Genomic DNA, 21774 nt, shown 5'->3' on the forward strand with positions numbered 1-21774 from the left:
GCCATGGTGATATGAAGGAGGCATGCCGCCCTAGTCGCATGCACCATTCATTCCGTAAAGATGCGCCCACTGCTTGTGCGCACCAGGCACTGCTCAGGTGCTGGAGACACAGCCCTGGACGAAGGCCAGGCCCTGCCTCTGTGGGGTTTCCAGTCTCCTGGCAGAGAAAGGCAGTAGTATAAATGAAGAGGTAGAGAATGTAACATCAGGGTGTGTAAGCACCGAAAAGGAAAACAAAGCAGGGTAAGGGGACACTGGGCACCTGTGGCTGGCCGATGGTTTAGGCAGATGGTCAGGGCCGATGCTAACAGTGACAAATTAACTTTAGCACATGAGATGCGCAGGACAATAAAGGCTCTGCCCTTCTGAGTGAAGAGGGAAACCAGCGTCCTGAGCTGACCTGCCTCAGGGGTCTCAGAAAACCAGAAACAGAGCCACAACCTGTCCCAGGTCTCTTGTATCACAGGCCAGAGCTGGTCCCCTGCATGGCCCGGCAGCCCCTCCCTTCATAGACACCGTTCCTCCCTCCATCCTCCCTGGGGAGAAGCAACAAACTGGTGCCCTCCCAGGCTGGAGGCCAAAGCCACCAGGCCTTTTCAGCCATCACCTCCTTCCTGGCCAGTTGCCCATGCTGGCCTCAGGCAGTGGAGCCTGACAGGAGATCCTTGGCCTCCTGACACAGCGGGGCAGGCTTGTCCTTCCCTCTGCCACCTCCCACCGATGTGGAAGTCTTGGTGTCAGACACACGTGGTCCTTCCACTTCTGAGATGTGTGACCTTGACAAGTTCAGCAGAGCATTTGTCAAAACTGGATGCTGGGCCATTCTCACAGAGCCCCTGGGAGGATTAAATAAAGTAAGAAATAAAAGGCCCCCAGGAGCCTATGGCCTGCAGCAGGCTTGGTAGGCACGGACACCTTCCCCTCTTGCAGTGTCCTCCCACCCCCGATCTGCGCCCCAGCCCAGAGCATCACTCCCTCTTCTGAGCTCCCACTGCCCTGAAAGCACTTGTTTTCTCTTTCTGGGTCTGCTCTTTGTCCCTGAATAGGACTGCCAACTCTCAGAGAGCAGTCTCTGGCTTCTGCAAGTCCCTGAGCCTCCTGCCTGGGGCTCAGCTCAGAGAGTCACATGCAGTCGCTGCTCAATAAATGTTCTTCCAAGTAGCTTTCAGCCACGAAAGTTTAACTTGGAGAATAATGGGGCATGTAGAGCTCTGGATTCACAGTCAGCCTCTTTATCAGCTAAATGACCCTGGGCAAGTTAACTTTTTATGTAAATGAGGATAATCACCAAATACCCCAAGGTTCTGCAAAATTATATGGTGATTTTAACATTATTGTTTCCATTATGGAATCATAGGTGGAGACAAGAGTCTATTAAATTTGTAACCTGGTACTACAGTTCTTCCCACAACATCCAGCCCCCTGGATGTTCGGCCTCTACTTGAACTCTCCAGTGACAGGGAACTCACTACCTGCTGGGCAGCCCATGCCATGTTTTGACTGCTTCTGAGCATTAGAAACTTGGCTTTCTATTGTTTTAAGACCTGCCATGCTGAGCTCTGGAATGCAGGGAAATGAGTGGGTGATGAGCAAGCCTGGGGGAGGGGCTGGAGAGAGCTGCAGGATGATGGTGGGAGGGTGGCAGGGAGCTGAGAGCCCCCCGAAACAATGCTGCTGGTCAGTGGGCCACAGGCTGTCAGCTCCCCTTCCAAGAGAAGCTCCTGATAATGGTGCCTCATCTGCTCATGGCTTCAGAACCTGCCAGCCCTTCCAGAAGACTGCCTCCTGCCCAGGGCTGCTCAGCAGCTGGACTACAGGGGCCCGGGTTCTCAAGCCCTGATGTATGATTTATGACTCCGATGAGCTCACCAGCTCAGGGAGGGAGGGTGATCCGAGGGGAGGCTGGAAGAAGGCTGGTTATGGATTTTAACCCTCTGATGTTACTGGCTGGGAATTTAACATCAATAATTCAAGGCAGTGGGGAGCAAGGGATGGGAAAAAGGCAAAAGAGAGAGGGAGGTGGGGATGGAAAGGGAGAAAAGAGGAGAAGAAGTGGAGGACGGGAAGAAGACAGGAAAAGAGGCAAAGATGCATTTATTGAGTGTTTCCCATGGGTACCATGCCACCTTCGCCTCCTTTAGCTCATTTAAGACTCACTGAAATCTATGAGGCAGATACTGTCACCTCTAATGACTGGATAAAGAAATTAATGCTCCAAGAGGAAAAGCAAAGATTTCAAGGACAGCAGGGGGGATGAGGGGATGGGATTTGGATCCATGTTTGCTGATTCCAGAACACGGGTTCTTTCTACTACACCTTGACTTTAGAGGGTAGCCAGGTCAGGGGACACAGAGGGTCCCTGCTGGCCTCAGGACACCTGGCCCCAGCTCACACTCTGGGGCTGACATGGGGAGAGATGAGTCTGAAGGGCTTGGCCCCTGGGAGAGAAACCAGCCACTGGCCTTCTGGACAGCACCAAAACTTTGTTGCTGAAGCTGAAAAAATTAACTGCTATATTTAAAAGCATTGTTCAGTTGCTATGGTAACAGAGGGGCTAAGAATAATATAAAAAGAAGATGATATGCCAGGTTGTCACTGGCAACCCAATTTTAAGGGTGTGTGTGTGTATGTGTTTTAAAAGGAGTTTTCTGGGGGGAGGTGTTGAGGTTCAGACTGTCTTCCCCACTCCCTCCGGCACCATCTGCCCCAGCGACATGTCCAAGGTGCAGCCAGGCCTGGCATCTCACTGGTCTGCTGGCATCGGGGGAGCTGGCACACCCTGGCCCTGAGCCTAAAGATAACGAAGGCTCTCAGCTCCCTAACTGCTGTCCCCTCCTGGCAGCCCCCCACTGCCTGGGCTGCTTCCTTCAGCTGCGGAACCCCAGCCGGAGGCACCTCTCAAACAGATGGCCCCCAAATAGCTTCTTCTCTCCGACCTGGGAGCTTTCAGCCAGCCTGGCAGACTCCCTGGGGACCACCAGGGAAAACAGATGGTCAGGAGAGAAGAGCAGGAGACAGATTTATTGATCTGCAGCATGGATGTCAGAGATAGGAGGCGGCTTGGCAGATCTGGGCATGGGGCTGCCCTACTCCCTGACGTGTCCTGGTGAGACATGCCAGGTCCAGCCTGAGTCTTCAGCCTGGGCCCAGGCGACCTGAAGGGGACCCACGGCAAGCCTGGGGAGGGTGGGAAGATGGATGGGGACTGGGGGTCCTCACGCACCAGCCAACTGTTTGTCAGGGCTGTGATGGCAGCACCCATGGGAACCATGGGAAGAACTGGGTGGCAAAAAGACAAAATCCCCAAGGCAGTTTATTGACAGCCAAGGATTAGAAAGAGGCCTGGTATTTTTACTGTGTCATGGTCATGCAATATGAAGGAGAGTTTTGAAATCAGACTGGGGTCCCCAGGCCGGCTTTGCTGCATGCTACCATGTGACCTCAAGCCAGGCCCTCAGCATCTTGGTGCTACCATAGGGAAAATGAGAGTGACCCTTAGGACTATGGTTGGGCCTCAATAAACTGAAGTTTATCAAACACCAGGCTTCATGCCTATAATATCCTCAGCAGGCAGCCCTGTCTGCCAGGAGAAACCTTCACCTTAGCATTTCTCTATGTCAGGCCCAAACCGAAAGCCACAGAGGAACTTGCACATATACACAGGGAATGAGACACAGTGAGAGGTGCCTTCACATGGAAGTGGACGGTGGGGCCCCGAGCAACCGATCATGCCTGGAGTGGGCAGGGAAATCTGAAGGAAGAGTTTGAGGTAGTCCTTGAAGCAGGAGAACGGCAGGGTGACAGAAGCACACTCCATGTGGAGGAAAGCAGCAAAGGCCGGGCAGGGTGCAGGGAGCACAGGGAGGGCTTGCTGAGGGCAAGTCTTAGCCTCTGAGGCCAGAACCTACCAGCAAGGTGGGCAGGAAGAAGGGAAATGATCAGAGCTGGGTGAGGCTCGATAGGGAGGCTGGCTGGGCTGGGTGAACCCAGAGGCAGGGAGGCCCATGGGGATGCTGGGCAAAAGTCCCAGCCAGAGATAAGGGGGCTGGGCCAAGGTAGGACAGTGCTTTACAGTTTACAAGGCGTGGCCATGTCCATTACCTCATTTATCATCACAGGATGGAGAGAGTTTGCTGCCCCACCCAAGCTCTCCCCCCATCACCACCTATCAGCACTTCCCACAGGCTGGGGGCACCCACCATGTACAGAAGGAGCTACATCTAGATTCCTGAGCATCCCCTAGAAGTGGAAGAGTCCAGAAGAGCTGGGGGGCCCCGATGAGGGTGAGATCTCATGAGTGGGTGTGGCCACAAAGGGCTTCTTGTAGGAGGAGCAGTGGGAGGGCCCTCTGGACAGACAGCATGCTTCAAACAAAGCTGGGGGATGGGACAGGTCATGGTGCATTGGGAAATAGTCCCTGGACCCTGCTGGGAGAAAGCAGGTTGGGGATCCAGGCAGGTCTGGGTCACGGAGGGCCCTGAATTCCAGCTGAGAGGCTGCATCCTCCTGCAGGCAGTAACAAGCCGTGGGGAGCTCAGAGGGGCTGGGGCAGGAGAGGGAGATGTGAACGAAGCCGGTTAGAAGCCAGGCTGCATCAGACACCACTGCCTTCCTCCTCTCTGTCACTCTCAGGCATGACTCTCCTTCTCCCCTGGCTGTCTGAGTGCCAGCAACAGAAAGCAGGCCTCAAGCTGCACGCACGTTGTGGAAGACGAGTATGTTTACTCAGCAGCACACAGCCAGCTCTGCCCAGGCCTCGGCCTGGCAGTCTTCTCTTTTGGGGAGAGCTGGTTGCCCTGTGTCCTGCTCTGAGGGCACGCAGTTGTGACCTTGGTTTCCCATGGTGAAGGCACCCAGAGTGGTACCTGGGGGAAGGTTCTGGGTCTCGTGGGAGTTCAGGCTGAGCCAGGAGAGAGCTGCCCAAGTGGCTCAGCATCTGGGGACCAGAACTTGGGCAGGGGAGGATCCCATGGAGCTTGCATTTTCCGACGCTCTTTCCCTTATTCCCTCCAACCAATATTTGTTGAATACCTACTTTGTGTCAGGCGCTATTCTAGGCGGTGAATCAGACAAGAAAAACTCCTGTCCTCTTGGAACTTAAATTCTAATAGGGGAAACAGACAACATTCAAACAAAGAAATGTTGTCAGGTGGTAATGAGCCCTATGAAAGAAAATACAGACAACTTGAGAAAGGAAAGAGAAAGTGACTAGAGAAGGTGCTTGAGTTGATGTGATCAGGGAAGGCTTCTCTAAGGAGATGAGGTTCTAGGGGTGACATCTGAGCAAAGGCCTGGGTGAAGTGAGGGAGCAGGGGCACAAGGATTTCAGGCACGGGGTTGGTACATGCAAAGGCCCTGAGGCAGGAATAAGCCTGGTGTGTTTCTCTGACTCCTTGTCTAGTGCTCTTGGGAAAAGAGAGGCTCAGGCAGGTTAGGTGACTTGCCTGGAACCATGCTGCAGATCAGTGGCTGAGCAGGACCAGAGGCAAGTTTTCTGCCTGTTTATCCAGGGGTCGCCCACCATATGTGGACTGGGCACATTTCAGGCATGGACCCTGGCCAGAGGATGGACATTGACTGTAGGGGAGGGTGAGTCAGTCATTCAGTCAACAAACGCTGACTGAGCGCCTAGCTCACGGCAGGCTCTGGCTGTGCTGGGCCCTAGCACACAGCAGGGCACCCATGGATGGAAGCGCATGTCCCCCTGGAGCCTGCATTCTAGTGGAGATCAGAGATTATGGGGATCATGGGATTCCAGGACCCTAGAATCTGTGGCCAGAATCTGGAAATCCCAGAATCAGAATGACCGGTATCTTAGCATCCAAGGATTCGGAATCCCCCAAGCACGGCTTCTCCATATGGGAAATTGGCAGGGCCCTTCAGCGGCATCCAGCCCATTTTAAAGAGGGGTGGAACCAAGGTCTGGTGCACTGAATGTCCCACATAGGGTGGCCAGTGGTGGAACCAGGGCCTTTGCCAAGGAGTCTGGGCTTCTGGGGCAGTGAGGCGACTGTGGGCAATGGGGATGAATACAGGCTTAGGCCAGACAGACTGGCCGTGGGTCTGTACCCTACGCTTGCTATGTCGTGGAATCTTTCTAAATCTCAGCTTCCTCATCTGTAAAATGGCACTAAGATGGCATCTACCTCAAATGGTTGTCGTGAGAATTAAGATAATCTACGTAAAGTGCTTAGCATGGCAAATGCTTCTAACACTTGCTGTTGTGCTGGTAATTATTAGTGAGACTTCAATAACACTGGTATGAAGTGTTAGATGACAGAGATTGAACCCTGCTGGAATGGGAACAGCGGACCTGCCCCAGCCACCCGGCTTAGCATCCCACAGAGGATCTGCCCAGGCGTGTCAGCTGATGGGAATAAGGGTTGTTTCACTCTCACCTCCAGAGACAAACATGGTGTGTGTGGCCTGGCACGAGTCCATTGCCCTCCTCTCTCCATCTCTCCTGTCTTCCCATTCCCTCCTCTGTCTCTGTCTCTCTCTTTCTTTCTCTCTTTCACACCCACACACACACACACACACACACGTGCACACACACACACACGTATGTGCTGTAATTATAGCCATAAGACCTTGACCCAGCCCAGAGCAGTGAAAGCTGAGACCAAAGGCATTAGAACGAAGGCGCTAGTGGATTTTAGCTGGGGGTCAAGGTACATGTTTTAACCCTTCCTCTTTGCTGGACTGAAACTAGGCTTGATGGACTAGGACCCACCAGGAGGTTAGAAGGGCAACAGCCCATGGCCAAGTGGGAGTAACAAGAAGCACATTCTTAATACTGTGAGAGATAAAGGCCAGATAGCTAAAATTGAGGGCTCAGAGTGTGCTGCTGCAGCTAAAGACAAGAGCTGCACAAAGGACAACCAGGTACCCTGGAAGACTTCCTGGAGGAGGAGAGAGAGGAGCTTTGAAGGATGGGGAGGATTTGACCATATAATTTATTGCTCTATATGAAAACAGCATTCAAGGACAAAGTCAAACAAAATCAAGTACAAAGGCACAGAGGCTCAAACTGTTAGGGTGCAGGAGACAGTGAAGCTCCTCTTACAGGTTAGATGGAAGTGAAACAGACTGGGAGGTGGAGCAAGAACTTGTTTTGCCTTTAGTTCTCGCCTTTACCTTGAAACAATGGTCATTCCTTCATTCATATGAATAACTCATCTATCTAAAACAATTTTAGGCAGCCCTAGTGAGCCCTAGTGAGTTTTCCTTCCCTTGGCTCAATTTCTCCATCTCCTAAATGGATTTGTCACTGACATGGAGAGGGAGACTGCCCAAGAGCAGATGTTCCTGAACTAGTAGTCAGCTGTTGGCTGCTCCACATCACTCAGGGACGTCCCTGTCCCCACCATGAAGTCTTAGGCTCATTGGAAAGCCTTGGGGTTCTTGAGATGTCCGTCTTTCTGGGGCAAGTTCACAATAACAGAGAAAGATGACACGGTGACCAGGCTCCAGAAGGAGACACACAGAGCCCTTCCTCAGGGTCACTTCAACCTCACAGCAGCCCCAGTGGGACTCCTGACTCATGTTAGCACCAACACAGGGAACCACTAAGCCTTGGAGAAGTTCAGTGTCTTGCCTGAGTCCTATATCTGGTAAACTGGCAGAGCCAGGCTAGGAAGCCCAGACGCTTCCTGGCTCCTATGTCCTTTCCATCAGGCCAGGCTGTCTCTTGCCCTAAGTTGCACAGGCCAAGAACAGAAGCTAAGACGGAAGTGATTTATTCCCAGGTACACAAGGACTCAAACTGTGGAGCGGGGCTGGGGTCCAGCCACACACTGAGCTCCAGAGGCCCAGTTCTGGTTTCAGCTGAGTGGCCCTACCAAGCTACTTGCTTTCCTACGTCTCCCCTCAAACATCCTCCCCACCCTCCATCTACATCGCAGATGCCAAAAAGTCATCAGAGCAGGCAGGAAATTCCATAATTGGCATGCTAAACCTGATGAGCTCAGGACACCACCTCTGAGTGGGCCTCCAGGGCTGCTCCCAGGCCCCAGACTGCAACTCTTGAAGGGCCTAAAGAAGGGAGATCCTATAATTTTCCCCATTTGGGACATTCAACAAATAGAATGGTTCATTCACAGATTTACTCCATTTGGACACATCGGGAATAGCCTTGGGTCTGTCTAGAAAGAGACATGTTCATCCAGCTCTGACTCACCCAGTTCCAGCACTGAATATACTACATTATTATTCTACCTTTTCAAAGCCTATTATGTGTGATTCCTATGTGAGGAGTTGAGGGAGCTACAGGTGAGACCAGAGTCAGGCTCTAATGTCAAGAGGCTCCTAAGACAAGAAATTAGAACACTTGTGCACTGCTGGTAGGAATGTAAAATGGTGCAGCCACTATGGGGAACAGTATGGAAGTTCCTCAACAAATTAAAAATAGAACTACCATATGATCTAGCAATCCCACTGCTGGGTATTTATCCAAAAGGATTGAAAACAAGATCTCAAAGAGATATTTGCACTCTTATGTTCATTACAGCATTACCCACAATAGTCAAGATGTGGAAAAAACCCAAATGTCCATCCAGATGAATGGATAAAGAAAATGTGGTACACACATACAGTTGAATATTATTCAGCCTTAAAAAAGAAGGAAATCCTGCAATATGTGACAGCATGGATGAACCTGGAGGACATTATGCTAAGTGAAATAGGCACAGAAGGACAGATACTGCATAATTCCACTTAGACGTAGTGTCTAAAATAGTCAAACTCACAGAAGCAGACAGTAGAATAGTGGGTGCCAGGAGCTGGGGGAACGGGAAATGGGAAGTTGCTGCTCAAGGAGTATAAATGTTCAGTTAAGCAAGTTGACTAAGTTCTAGAGACCTGCTGTGCAACATTTGCCTATGATGAATGATACTTTATCTACTTAAACATTGGTTGAAAGGTAGATCTCATGTGAAACATTCTTACTGCAATTTTTTTTTTTTTTGAGACAGAGTTTCAGTTTCACTATTGTCGCCCAGGCTGGAGTGCAATGGAGCGATCTCGGCTCACTGCAACCTCCACATCCCAGGTTCAAGCGATTCTCCTGTCTCAGCCCCGAGTAGGTGGGATTACAGGCGCATGCCACCGCGCTCGACTAATTTTTGTATTTTTAGTGGAGACGGGATTTCATCATATTGGTCAGGCTGGTCTCGAACTCCTGACCTCAGGTGATCCGCCCACCTCGGCCTCCCAAAGTGCTGGGATTACAGATGTGAGCCACCATGCCTGACCCTTACTGCAATTTTTTTAAAAGCTCATAAGCTAGAACAAGAGACGTAGGTAGGTGCATAGGTTAATCAATAGTGCTAATAGCAAATATTTATATAATCTGGATCCTGCATCAGGCACAGTTCTGAGTTTTTACCTGTATTAACTCACTTGACACTTGCAATGCTATTAATACTATGAAGGAAGTATCATTATCATCTCTGCTGTACAGAGGAGGAAACTGAGGCATAGAGGGGTTGAGTCATGGACTCACAATTGCTCTGCTGCTCACAGGAACAGAGCTGGGATGGGAGCCCAGGCAGGCAGCTCCAGAATCTGTGCTCCTAACCCCACACGGTGCTGTCCATCGGTGCACAGAACTGCCTTCCCTAACAGAGGTGTGCCCTGGGTAGCACAGAGGCTAGTGAGCGTGATCCACTCCATCAGAGGGAGGGGCATGGACATTTTCCTAGAGGAGTGATGCCTGCACAGACTCTCAATGATGAAGCTCTCCATCATCTCTGAAGACTAATGAAGCCAGCCATAAACATGCCATGGGAGGAACTGAGAGGGCCTCTGGCCAAGCAGGCTGCCCCTACCCCTGCCCCTGGGATCTCTACCTCCCCACCTGACCCTAGTAGGGTCTTCTTCCTCCCTCATGCAAGCTCCTGGAACTCTTGGTGTGTATCTCCTTCGCAGTGTGGACCACAATCAGCTTTGTCTCTGCTGCAGACTTGTCTTACCTCCCTCCAGTGGAGTCCTTGTTCCACCTCCCTTCACCTCTCTGACATCTCTAGCTCCCAGCACAGGCCTGGGATGTAGCTCGTGCTTGTGAAATACTTGTTGCACTGATACTAGTTTTCCACATATATCAGGGCTGGCCCTGGCTGGACCTGGAGATCAGCAAAATAAATTTGGCTGGCCTTCCTTCCTTCCTTCCTTCCTTCCTTCCTTCCTTCCTTCCTTCTTTCCTTCCTTCCTTCCTCCCCTTCCCTCTCCCCTCCCTCTCCCCTCCCCTTCCCTTCCCTTCCCTCCTTTCCTCCCTTCTCTCCCTCCCTCCCTCCCTCCTTCCCTCCTTCCCTTCCTTCTGCCTGCCTTTCTTCCCTCCACTTTTAGCAGGTATTTATTGAGTATCCATTGTATGTGGCAGGTGCAATGCAGCAGGACAGTCTCTATTCTGTGGGCACTCACAGTCTAGTCAAGGAGACAGACTAGCAAAAAGACAATTGTTGGTGAAATGCATTCTGACATGAGTCCAGGGAGCATAGGAGCACATGAAATCCACAGGCTTCCACAGGTGTGGAGGAAGTAATCAAGGAAGACTTCTGGGAAATGGCATCTAAACTGAGACTTGAATATTGAGTGTGCATGCATGTGCATATGTGTATGTGTGAGAGAAACAGGAAGAAAGAGAAAGACAGAGAGAGAGATGCATGTGTGTGTGTGAGCTAGGAAGCAAGAGGTTAAGGCCAGAGCTTTGAGGGAAAGAGGTAAGACCAGGTAGGAGATCCTGAGGGTCCTTGCAAGTTGCTCTAAAGGAATTTAGCATTTAACCCCAGAGGCCATGGGGAGCTATTAAAGGATTTTATTTGGGGAATGACGTGACCAGGTTTGTGTTCTAGAAAGATCCCCCTGGTGCACTATGGGGAACAAATTAGAGGGGGCATGGTGGTGGCAGATAAAAGCAGCTACAGAAATCCAGGTAAGACAAGGCTGTTAGCAGTAGGAGTGACAGGAAGGGACACATCTGCCAGATCTTGAGTCACTTGATTTTCCTTGGGGGTTGGGGGATCAGGAATGAGCCCTGAGTTTGGGTCATCTCATCCCTTCCATGGGGCCCCTCTCTTTCCTGCCACCATCCCCATCCTTATCCCATTGTTGTAACGGAAAGTCATGGAATTCTTGGGGGAACTCCATGAAATACTAAAGTTCTGGTTCCATCACAAGAACTGGGAACAATTTTCACTAGCAGAAAATGCACCCATACCATAAAATCATACACACACACACACACAGCCACCACACACACACACACACACACACACACACAGCCACCATAAAAAAATATGCTGCAAAACTCCGCAGAATTGGCTGGTTTTGATATTCCTCATTAATATTTGTTTGCTACTTGTACATTTCATTTTATTGCCTATGAGCACTCATTAGCAGTCAAGCAGTAGCAAGTGCCCAGAGCTTATGAAAAGCCAATGGGAGAAAACTAGAAGAATGAGATAATGATAAGTAATAACTTTGTCCTTTACTGCAAATTGGGAAGAGCTAGGTATTGGTTTAGTGTAGGAGTGAAACATCTCAGCACAGCCCTCAGAGCCCAGGGTCAGGGTTAGGATTAGGGTTAGCACTTTCATAGGTTTCTTCTGGTCAAGGCTGGAAAGCAATCTGATTAACTAGATCATGGTAAGGAATGAATGACCACCAGAGTAGCTTAATCCTGCCTGGAGGTACTAGCAGCTCGGCTTTAGAGATGGAGAGGAAGTAAGCTTTCCCAACTTCCTTCAAATGCTATAATCTGCCTGTAAACTCAGAGGATAATACAGATGTTAGTTTCTCTTGCGATAATAATATCATGAGGGGGGAGGGGCAGCTCGAGGATGAATCTTTTTCTCCAGGTTTGCAGCGGTAGCTTGAAGTAGTGTCTTGGGGTGGACTCTGACATCCCCTTCCACCACTATCCACTGTCACCTTCCGAAGCCACTCCAAATGAGCAAACATAAACTCTAGGTTAAAAGTGTGCTTATTCTACAAATGCAGCTTCAAGATAAGTCTTCTGTATGTTCCCACCCCTCACCAGAATACTGTCCCTGGGATCCTCCTCTGAGAACAGTTGGCAAAGCTGGTTGGTCCCCTTAGGGAGAAAAGGGCTGGCCTTCATATGGAATGCCTAGGGCTGAATAAACAATCAGATGGGGTTTCCTTCCTGACCTACTACTGCTGCCAAGTAAAGTGAACAGAAACGTCCACCACAGAAGGCCATTCTCCAGATGAGAAAACCAAGGATCAGAGAACAAAGACTTGGCTTGGATTACATATGCAGGAGGTTCCTGCACATCTGGCCACACCTACCCTTTCTGGCTCTTTGGGACATATGATGGAGACTGGAGGCTTCCAACTCTGAGCTGATGCACGGGTAATGGACAGGGGCAGCTCCACGTCAGTGAGACGTGATGCATTAAGATGCTGATACCATGGAAAAAACTGGGAGGTGTGAGCCCCTCCCCAGCCATCACACACAGGCCAAACATCTGGTCTGCACTAAGGGCACCTGCCAAATCTCGCCTGAGGCCATGAACTCCAGCCCAGGTGAGACGGTTCTGTTCCTTTGCAAGGGTGGCCCCTAGGCCTGGACAAGGCTGAGGTGAGAGTCCGGCTGGGGCTCAGCAGAAGCCTGTGAATGACTCCGGTTGTGCTCTCACACCAAGACAAAGAATAGCACTGGCATCTCCCACCTGAAGTTTCACAATGGTCTACTTAGCCTTTCTCACCCACAATCCCACACCAACTCAGGGAAGAAAGACCAGCTGTTTGTTTTCCTACTTGGCAGAGGAGGAAACTGAGGTTCAGAGTGGTCAAGTGACCTGCCCAGAGTCATACAGCAAGTGAATGAGAAAGGCAGAATTGAAACCCAAGACTCAACACTTTTTACCATCTTTGAATGAAACAGCTGACCCTAAGCAGGATGGGCACATAAGAGGCACCTCTCATGCTGTGAATGGCATCCCTGAATCAAGAACGCTTCGGGACATGCAGACATGCAGCTGGGCCCCTAACTGGTTGCCACTTATCAGCCGATGTCTCCTCACTCCTGCCACAAGCCTCTCCCAGTCACAGGGACAAGGGAATGATGGTTCCTTACAAGGAATAGCTGTCAAGAGGCAAGAGAACAGACATCTCTTTTTCCTGAATTATGTTAGAGCCCAGGAGGGATGTTCAATCTTCAAGGGCATGTGCGGACCTACCTAATGCAACAGCAATGGAATAACTAAGAATTCCCAGGACTTCCCACCTCCCAAAGCCCAAACTATTGTCTGTGCTGATGGTAACTGCTCGCTCCAAGATGAATGGGCAGAAGCTGGGATGAAAGGCCCAGACACATAGGACTGATAAAGCAAACAGGTTCAGTGTCCAGCATCCGTATGGAAACTCCATAAGAGGCAAGGGCCAACAGTCCTCTGTCCCTTCCTCCAGTGACCCCCAAAAGACAGGCAGGCACTATCAGATCTCCAGGATAGGCTCAACAATACTGGAAAACAGGTGTATTGTCCCCATTTTGCAGATGAGGACATAGTGGCTCAGAGAGATGAGTTGACCAGTCCCAGGGTCATTTTAAGACCCAAGCTGCATTACTTTTGGAAGCCTCCCCGACATTCTATAAAATTTATCCCTTGCTGAATGTAATATTTTGCTGGAAAACAACTATACATTTAAAAGATAATTTTGTTTTTGAAGTGATTTTCAGTGAGTAACCTGTAGTATGAATGATATGCTCTGATTTCTCAGCAGTCATTGTCTGCAATCAGGAACCTTGGCAAGGTGAGGCATGCTAACCCCCAAAAGGAGGGCTGTTTCTATAAAAACTAAATCATACAATTCATTATGCTTGAGTATATTAACTAAATATTAATTTTGATGAGCAGTTTTCATATTTTGAAACCAAACCTTTTTCTTTTCATGTCTCAAGCATTTTCATGAGCCCTCGAGAAGCCACATGGGCCCATGGTGTCTCCCGGGTAAATCAAACCCGGGATGGACCTGAGATTTGAACACAGGTCTACTTCCAAAACCAGGGCTCCTTCCTCAATGTCTGGCTGCCTCCAAGAGTCAAGGCACCATCTCTAAGTTGTAACAGGGAAACTACCAAATAGAACCAGCAGGCAAGCAGGCATGAAGGGGGCTGGAAGTGAGGCCCTTTGAGAAGCTGTTACAGATTTTGTAGATGTTTGATCATAAACAGCCATGGCAGTGGGTGACGTTTACACACCCGCTCATGTTAAGTCCCACAGTTACCTCCTTTTGAGCGTGGAGGGGTTAGGAAACTCCCAGTGTCACATAGATAGCAAGTGGCCTCACCACGATTTGAACTGGGGGAGTTGTGCTCTGGAGTCCAAAATCTTAACTGCTCTGGGATACTGGGACACTGGAGCAGAAGGATTTGGGGCAAGTCTGGAGAGGCCCAAGTGCAATACTGAGACATCTAGAACAATAGGAGAGAGGAGATCAGTTCTTTTGGGGAAGGTCAAAGATAGAGGACAGGTGTGGAGGCTGGCAGGTCTCAGCTGACTAGAGAGAAGAACTTTCTTAAAAAAGGCAGAGCTGTCGAACAATGGAGGGCTGCCCTACCCTGAGTGTTGAGTGCCTGGTGGCTGGCAGTCTGCAGGGAAAATGATGCCTCTGTGCTGGGCATGGGGGCAGGGGCTCTTGCTGTGGTAGAGGGCTGTACATATGGACTCCAGAGGGCGTAAGTGATAATCCTCTCTTCCTTTCTCAGAACCACCTTTCTACAGGCTTTGGTGTCTCAGCGCGGGAGGCACAGATGGCGAGGTCTGCCTTTGGCCAGGTGTGGGCGCCCAGTGTTGGGGGAGAAGACTGCAGGCACAGAAGACTGAACTCACAGGCAGGTCCGGAGATGCAGAGCTGGTGTTCACTGGGTTTTTCTATGTGCTAGTTACTGGAGCTTCACGTGTGTCATCTCCTTCTCTCCTCACACTCTCTGAGGGTGGACTTCCTCCCATCTCATAGATGAGAAAGAGCCTGGGGCCCAGAGAGGCTAAGCAGGGAACCTGGGGCTGCTTGGGATCCTAGGGCGATCTGACAGCCACCTCAGCTTCCCCACCACGAGGGATGAAGCCGGGAGGCAGCCCCTTCCTGTGCCTGACCCCTACCAGCTGGGAAATGTGGCCCAGGCAGGCAAGGCCTCTGGGGATCCCAAAGTGGCAGCAGGCAGTGGGAGCTGAGCAGAGAGGAGTAGGGGTGGGCTGGGGGGACACTGCCAGACGGAAATGAAAGTGGCCTTGAGAAAAAGGAACGAGGGAAGAAAAGCAGAAACTAAAACAAGTGACAAAGAAAACGAGAGTGTCCAGAGGAAGTGGCTGAGGGGCGCGGCGCCGCCGGAGGAATCCCCCGCAGACCGGTGTTTCCTCTCTTCTCAGAGGCCTCGGGGTGGAGGACTAGCTGACCAACTGCTCCGTCACTTTGGGCCAGAGGCAGCCCGGGTGACTTTGGCAAGCATGGCCTCATCCCGCCAGCCTAGGAAGGAGCACCAGACACAGAGCCCCAAGCCCTGGGCTGGAGTCGTAGTCAGCTACTTCCTGCTGGGTCATTCTGGGACATTTATTAGACCTCTCTAGTACCCAGTTTCCTATCTATAAAATGGGTATAACCATCCTGAGCCCACCACACTGCTGGAAGGATCTCCTGAGCAAATGCCCTCATCCAGGGCCTGACGGGTGCATGTTGGGGTAGGTGGGCTGTGCACACAGCGGCAGGGTGCACCTTCAGGATACCTGGGGAACAGACAGGGAGAGTATCCACCATCTTATTGTTGAACAAGAATGCATCAACGCTTGCTGGTCCTTAATCACCCTAGGCTTTGTCAGGCCTGGGAACAAAGGGCTGAATAAGGGCCAGTCTATTCCCAATTACAGACTCTGCATGCAACTCCAGTTCCTTATCCCAGCTCTCCTACTTGGTAGCTGTGCAACCTTGAGCAAGTGACTTGACCTCTCTGAGTATCTTTCTTCACCCATAAAGCTAGAACAATAAGCATATCTGTCTTCTAGGTTGCAAGGAATAAATGAGACCACACTCAATCCAAAGCCAGGCACAAATTCCTCAGCCCCAGCCCAGGGAGTGCCCAGCCTAGAGGGGAGCTGGAGTCCAAGGACATGAGCAGGCTGTAATGATAGACGGCACCCAGGCCTGGGGCACTCAGTGCTGGGCAGGGGATGCGGGGCTGGTTCTGCCAAGGCGACAGAGCAGGGGGAGTAAGGGGGGGTGAAATGTAATCCCAAGGGGACAGCATGAGCAAATGTGCAGGGGAGGGGCCAAAGGCGATATGCTTGGGATCTGCAGAGGGTGGATGAGGCCAGACTTGTTCTCAATCTACAGCCCCACTGACAGTTCTCAGACTGGCCCTGGAAGTGATACGGGCATGCCACTGGGGATGCTACAGTCAGCTCTTAATGCAGGGCTGGCTTCTAGGGTCAGCTTCTACAGCCAGACTTGCCTAGGCTGCAGTTTGTCTCCAGACAGACACGGGAATTCCCCCAAGGGGTGGGCATGGTTCTTGTGAACTGCTGTGGCCTGGGACTGGGCTTAGAGTACAGGCAGCTGCTGCGGTGAAGGTGTCAGAAGGCACAGGCTAGGGTCCCAGAGAGGTTTAGGAGGGGGTTTCTCTGCTGGGTGTTTGCTCAGTGCTGGATGGTGGGTGCTGAGGGCCTCATTTGCATAGGGAGAGCAGCTGCTGTCCCAGCCACACTGCTGCCCACAATCTCCACGTGGCTGCAATCTCGCTCTCAGTCACCATCTCCCACATGGACTAGGGGTTACCCAGGCTGCCTTGGCCACGTGCTTCCCCCAACACACAGCCATCCAGGAACAACCAGAAATCAGACTACTGTCTCCGCCACCCTCAGGGGTTCCATTCAGGGAGTCCACCTCCCAAGGTGGCTGTGGGAATAAAACGAGATCCTGGGGGAAGCAGAGAGCCCAGTGCACAGGGGTGATCAGTAACCGGCAGCCCCTTTCCCTGCCTTTCCCTCTACTTCCAACATTATGTTGTGAAGAACAGGGCAGACCTGGGCCCATGCTATCTCTCACCCTGGCTCTGTGACTTGAGGCAACTCACTCCAACTCTGTAAATCAACTGCTCATCTGCAAAACTGGCAAGAAACTGAGAAGGCACTGGTTCTCAGATTGGCAAAGCTCATCGTCACTGCCTCACTCCCTCAACTCTATGTCCAGGGACCACGGGTTTCCCAGGGTTCCCAAACTTGCTGTTGGCAAAGGGCCTGATATCCGTCACTGACCTTTTTATTCTGAATGGGTCCCCGTTGACTTTAAAGCTGGAATATTCTTAGAGGAATTCTAAACTCCTCCTTTCCAACTCCCTACTCATTTTACAGAAGGAGAAAGTGAAGAGAAGAGAGGGAGAAGGGCCCTGACCGAGGCCACCAGCTTGTAAGTAGCAGCCCTAGGCTTGGGACCAGGGCCTCCTGAAGGTGACAGTCCTTTCAGCCATGTGTCCTTGTTCCTCTAGTTACCTCCAATTAACTCTAGGTAACCCAGCCCAGTCTTTGATTCTGTGTTGAAAGGTGCGAGGTGCTGGAGCCGGGAAGAGGTGCGTTCTTGCTCTCGACAGGAAGTGTCATGTGAGTTTCCGGTTCCCTCTCCTCCACTACCACTCTGGATCCTCACACCAGCCCACAGAGGGAGACAGGAAGGGAGGCACAAAGGCAGGGCAGGGAATACTGTGCCTGTTTTCCAGATGAAGACACGAAGGCCAAGAGAGGGAAAGTGAGTCGGCCAAGGTCCTCCAGCTAGTCGGGGTTGAGCGTGTTTAACCTTAGGAAACGTGACTGCAGAGCAAGGGGCTTTCATCTTCCTGTGGGAATTCGCCCCCTTTCTCACAGGGGCCCTCAAGAGACTAGGCAGGCTCCTCCTGCAAAGGATTCCTCTTTGTCCATTTGAGAGGCCTCACCCCAGGCTCTAGGAGCTGACATGATTCAGCTCAAGGAAGACTCAGTATGAAGGGAGAACCAGGAACCTGGGCCTCTGCCCCTCACCTGTGGCCTTGAACAGGTCACTTCTCCCCTCAAGCCTTGGTGTCCTCCCCTGTAGAGCTGAGGGGGTGAGGAGTAGATGAGCTGATCCTTCAGTTTGCTGCCCTCTTTGACCCGGAAGTGCTGGGCCTGCACAACCCTGCATCCCTGGCACCAGTGCTCCTAGCCCCACCCTGCTCCAGATGCCCAGTGCCTGAAGAGCCAGCTCCCCATCAGCACTCAGTCCTGGGGCAGAGCCAGGCCTGGCAATGCTGGGGGAGACCCTGGAGGGGAACATCATGGGCCACCAGGGGCACGCTGCAAATGCAGCAACTAATGCACCAGGGGCGCCAGGGTGCAATCTATCTAAGCAGTTCTCTCACGCTCTTTGCACGTTAATAATGCATGGGCAGCCGGTGTGGGGGCCATCACAGGCCCAACGTCAGGTGGCATTAGGAGGCCTCTAATGGTCCTGATTATCCGGTGAAGGCTCCCAGTGGGATGTGGGCAGCATGGGCAGGAAGCCAGGATTCCGGGCACTTAGACCCCACAGGTGGGAGGCTGGGGGGTGGGGCAAGAGGACAGCTTCCATAGGCCAGGGTCCTATTCAGGGGATCTAATGGGACTAGCTGAGGCTTCCTGTGGGGGGTGAATTTGTTTGTGAAGAGGAGCAAGGACGCAACTCCCACAGCCAGATCACAAAGAAAGTGGGAAGTCAGAAACCCAGGGCTGAGTGAAACCTCTTAAAATCTCTCCTCTGTGGCGTCTCTGACCAGTGGCTCTGCAGCAAGTGCCTCTAGGGACAAGGAACTCACTACCTCCTAGAGTGACACATGCCCATTCTTTGAACAAGTGTGACTGCCGGGAAAAAGGTGTACTGCGTACAGCTGTCAAGAATGCAAATGCCACTGAGTGTTGGGGGCATGGGTAAGTTGGATAAAGGGGCTGATTTGAGAGACAGAGGTGCTGGGTTCTAATACTGAGGATTCTCCTTGTCCTCAGGCAGCTCCGGAGCCATCAACCTGGCCAGTCTTCACAGCCTACCCCAGTGGCAGACCCCCTGAATCCACCCCAGGGCCCCAGTAAGCCCCCGTGAACCTGTGAACTTTGCATTTCTATGCTCAACACTCAGGGTGAGCAGTCCAGAAAAAACAACCCATGCACAGCAGGTGCTGGGGGTAGTCAGGCTTCAAGATGCCTCCAAATGGTTCTCATCTCTGAGTATTCACACTGAATGGAACTGACCTATGTAACTAACAGGATGTCGTGGGAATGACAGGCATGACTTCCATGGCTAGGTCATAAAGAGATTGTGGCTTCTACCTTGCTCTCTCTTGGACCCCAGTTGCTGGAGGAAGCCATCTGCCATGTCAAACAGCCTATGGAGATGCCCATGTGGGGAAGAATGGAGGTCCCCTGCCAACAATCAGCTTTGACATGCCAAGCCTGTGAGGGAGCCATCTGGAAAGGGAGTCTTCCAGCCCCAATCAGGCCTTCAGATGACTGCAGCCCTGGCCAGCTCCTTGACTGCAACCTCATGACAGACCTTGAGCAAGAACTGCTCAGCTAAGCTGCTTCTGAATTCTTAACCTACAGAAATGTCTAATGCTTTAAGAAGCAAAGTATGGGGTAATTTACCACATGCAATAGATAACAAAACCATGTGCAATAAATACTGGTTAAACAAGTGAATGATTCCCCTGACCGAGTGTTTCTCTATGGAAGGGTCTGGCATGGAACCAGGCCCTCTGGGGCCTATGGGGGATGGAGAGGAAACAAAAGATGAGGACATGGTCCTCTAGGAAGGCTGTGGCATGTGGTGGGGAATGACAGGTGCAGACCAGAGGGAGCAGTGTGAGAGCTTTGGATGGGCTAGACTATGTGGGGAAGATGAGGAAGGAGTTCTGAGAGAGGGGACCACATGAGCCATGGTGCAGCTTGGGCCGGACGGGGAGCATCAGCAGAGGCGGGTTCTCCAGTGGCTCTCATCTTGACTGCTGTATCCCTAGCCTCCCTGAGACAGCTACTATTATCATCTCAATTTTGTGGATATGGAAACGGAGATTAAGCAACTCGCCCAGGGTCAAAACGCTGGGAAATGATGGAGCCAGGATTTGAACTGAGGAGACCATGGAACAGAAAACTAGCAGAGGGCGGTCTTAACAAGGCCCAAGGAGATGAGGCTCCCCAGCAGGGTGACTGAGGGGAGGGCACACAGGTGCTAGGGAAGGTGGCCAAGGAAAGGCCACTGGGGCTGGTACTATAGGAGCATAGAAAGGCAGGGGAAAGTAGCCTTGGGGTGGGGGGTGACAAAGGCCCTGCCTGAGTTGAGGACTACATGGCTTTGTACCCAAGCCACTCTTACCCCAGCTGGAGCCTCATGTCTCTCCCAGGATGCTCTTGCTGGGCTCTGTGCCTGGGCTGACCAACTCCCTTACACAGCTCTGCCTACTCCCCATCATACAGCACCTGGACCGCGACGCTCTATCCCCGAGGACAAGGCCTGCCTTCCCCCAACAGAACCCCAAACACTTCAAGCTACAGTCTCCAGAGACTCTCTTCTCCAGAGGGCCCTGCAGGGATCAGATGGGACTGGGGGTCGGTAGGAGGGCAGAGGACACCAGGTTTCAGTCCCCATGGGAGGCAGGAGCATCCCCAGCCTGCCTAGTCCCCAGGATCTGGTTCACCCATGTCCCTAGGACCCAGCCCTGGGCCTGGTACACAGCAGGTACTCAATACATGTGCATGGAATAAATAAACCAGCAGATGCAGAACTCCATCCTGCAAACACAAAGCAGTTCAGAGCACACTGGGAAATCACATGGAGGAAATGTTCTGGCCATGAATTTTCATGCTGGTCCCTGATAATCCAGGTCTTTTCTGTCATTGCCCCCAGGGACTGCTGGCATCTTCCCGGCTGCACTGGGCAACACTCCATATGGGGCTGTGCTGAGACATAGTGACAGAGTGGAGGGGGTGGGGAAGATGAGAACACAAGCAGGGGCAGAGCCAAGGGATGGGATGTCCTTGGATTCTGAAACCCGAGTGCTGACAGCCAATGTCCAACTCCCAGGTACCAAGTGGTAATTACTGTGAAAAGCAGACAGCTTGACAATGGAGGATGTAGATTTCACCCAAGGCCTTACCTTGAACCCTCCCCCAGTCACATCACAGGCCATAGGGCTTGTGGGAAGGGTCCTTAGTGGCCATCCAGCCTCTCCCTATATCCAAGAGGAAACTGAGGCCCGGCCAGGAGCCGAGACCCTCAAAGCTCACCTGAGAGTTGGTGGTGGAGTTAGAACTGGAAGCCAGAGCTCCCATCTCCTATTCTGTCGCTCACCAAACATGGCCTGGCTCTTGGGGCGTTGCCCTGGGAGACAAGCCTGTGCTCTGAGGGTCCACTGTGGCTGAGTGACTTAGGGGAATTGGTTCTGCAAAAGAAAGTGCCAGGCAGGGAAGCAGCAACCAAGGGACTGGAAAGAGGAAAGGGATGTGGGGAAGGCTCTGGGACAGGCCTCCCTGGCTCCTCACTCTCTTTGTCCCCCTGCCACCTTCTCAGAAGCACTCTCAGCATCCCAGGCCAGCCTCCAGCCCAGTCCTTCTCCCAGGCTGTTCCTCGGCTCTCAAGGCCTCAGCTCCTCCAGGTGTCCCACTCCTCTCAACCTCCAGCCCCTGCACAGAACTCACACTCCCCGCCCTCTCCCCCAGCACAAGCTCACAGTCCCCACTCCCTGGTCCATTCCCCTTCCTGCCTGGCTGCTGTGCAAGGTGC

The 21774-nt window shown here is 51.9% G+C and overlaps 1 protein-coding gene across 2 annotated transcripts in view, besides 4 other annotated features; it reads right to left on the reverse strand.

Annotated features, from left to right (window-relative positions):
• Positions 1 to 21774, reverse strand: part of HIVEP3 (HIVEP zinc finger 3) — a 529570-nt gene that overhangs the window by 205889 nt on the left and 301907 nt on the right. The gene's annotated exons all lie outside the window — the stretch shown is intronic.
• Positions 8918 to 8967: an enhancer, noted in NCBI's record as "active region_876". NCBI's record gives its function as "activates an Ori minimal core promoter by ATAC-STARR-seq in GM12878 lymphoblastoid cells {active_cell/tissue: GM12878}" and the evidence as "EXISTENCE:reporter gene assay evidence [ECO:0000049][PMID:35858748]".
• Positions 9008 to 9057: an enhancer, noted in NCBI's record as "active region_877". NCBI's record gives its function as "activates an Ori minimal core promoter by ATAC-STARR-seq in GM12878 lymphoblastoid cells {active_cell/tissue: GM12878}" and the evidence as "EXISTENCE:reporter gene assay evidence [ECO:0000049][PMID:35858748]".
• Positions 16104 to 16173: an enhancer, noted in NCBI's record as "active region_878". NCBI's record gives its function as "activates an Ori minimal core promoter by ATAC-STARR-seq in GM12878 lymphoblastoid cells {active_cell/tissue: GM12878}" and the evidence as "EXISTENCE:reporter gene assay evidence [ECO:0000049][PMID:35858748]".
• Positions 21005 to 21506: an enhancer, noted in NCBI's record as "H3K4me1 hESC enhancer chr1:42198929-42199430 (GRCh37/hg19 assembly coordinates)". NCBI's record gives its function as "activates a minimal SCP1, AML or CMV promoter by ChIP-STARR-seq in naive H9 embryonic stem cells {active_cell/tissue: H9 hESC(naive)}" and the evidence as "EXISTENCE:reporter gene assay evidence [ECO:0000049][PMID:30033119]".

The sequence above is a fragment of the Homo sapiens genome, chromosome 1 (assembly GCF_000001405.40).
Source record: "Homo sapiens chromosome 1, GRCh38.p14 Primary Assembly".
Classification (NCBI taxonomy): Eukaryota; Metazoa; Chordata; class Mammalia; order Primates; family Hominidae; genus Homo; species Homo sapiens.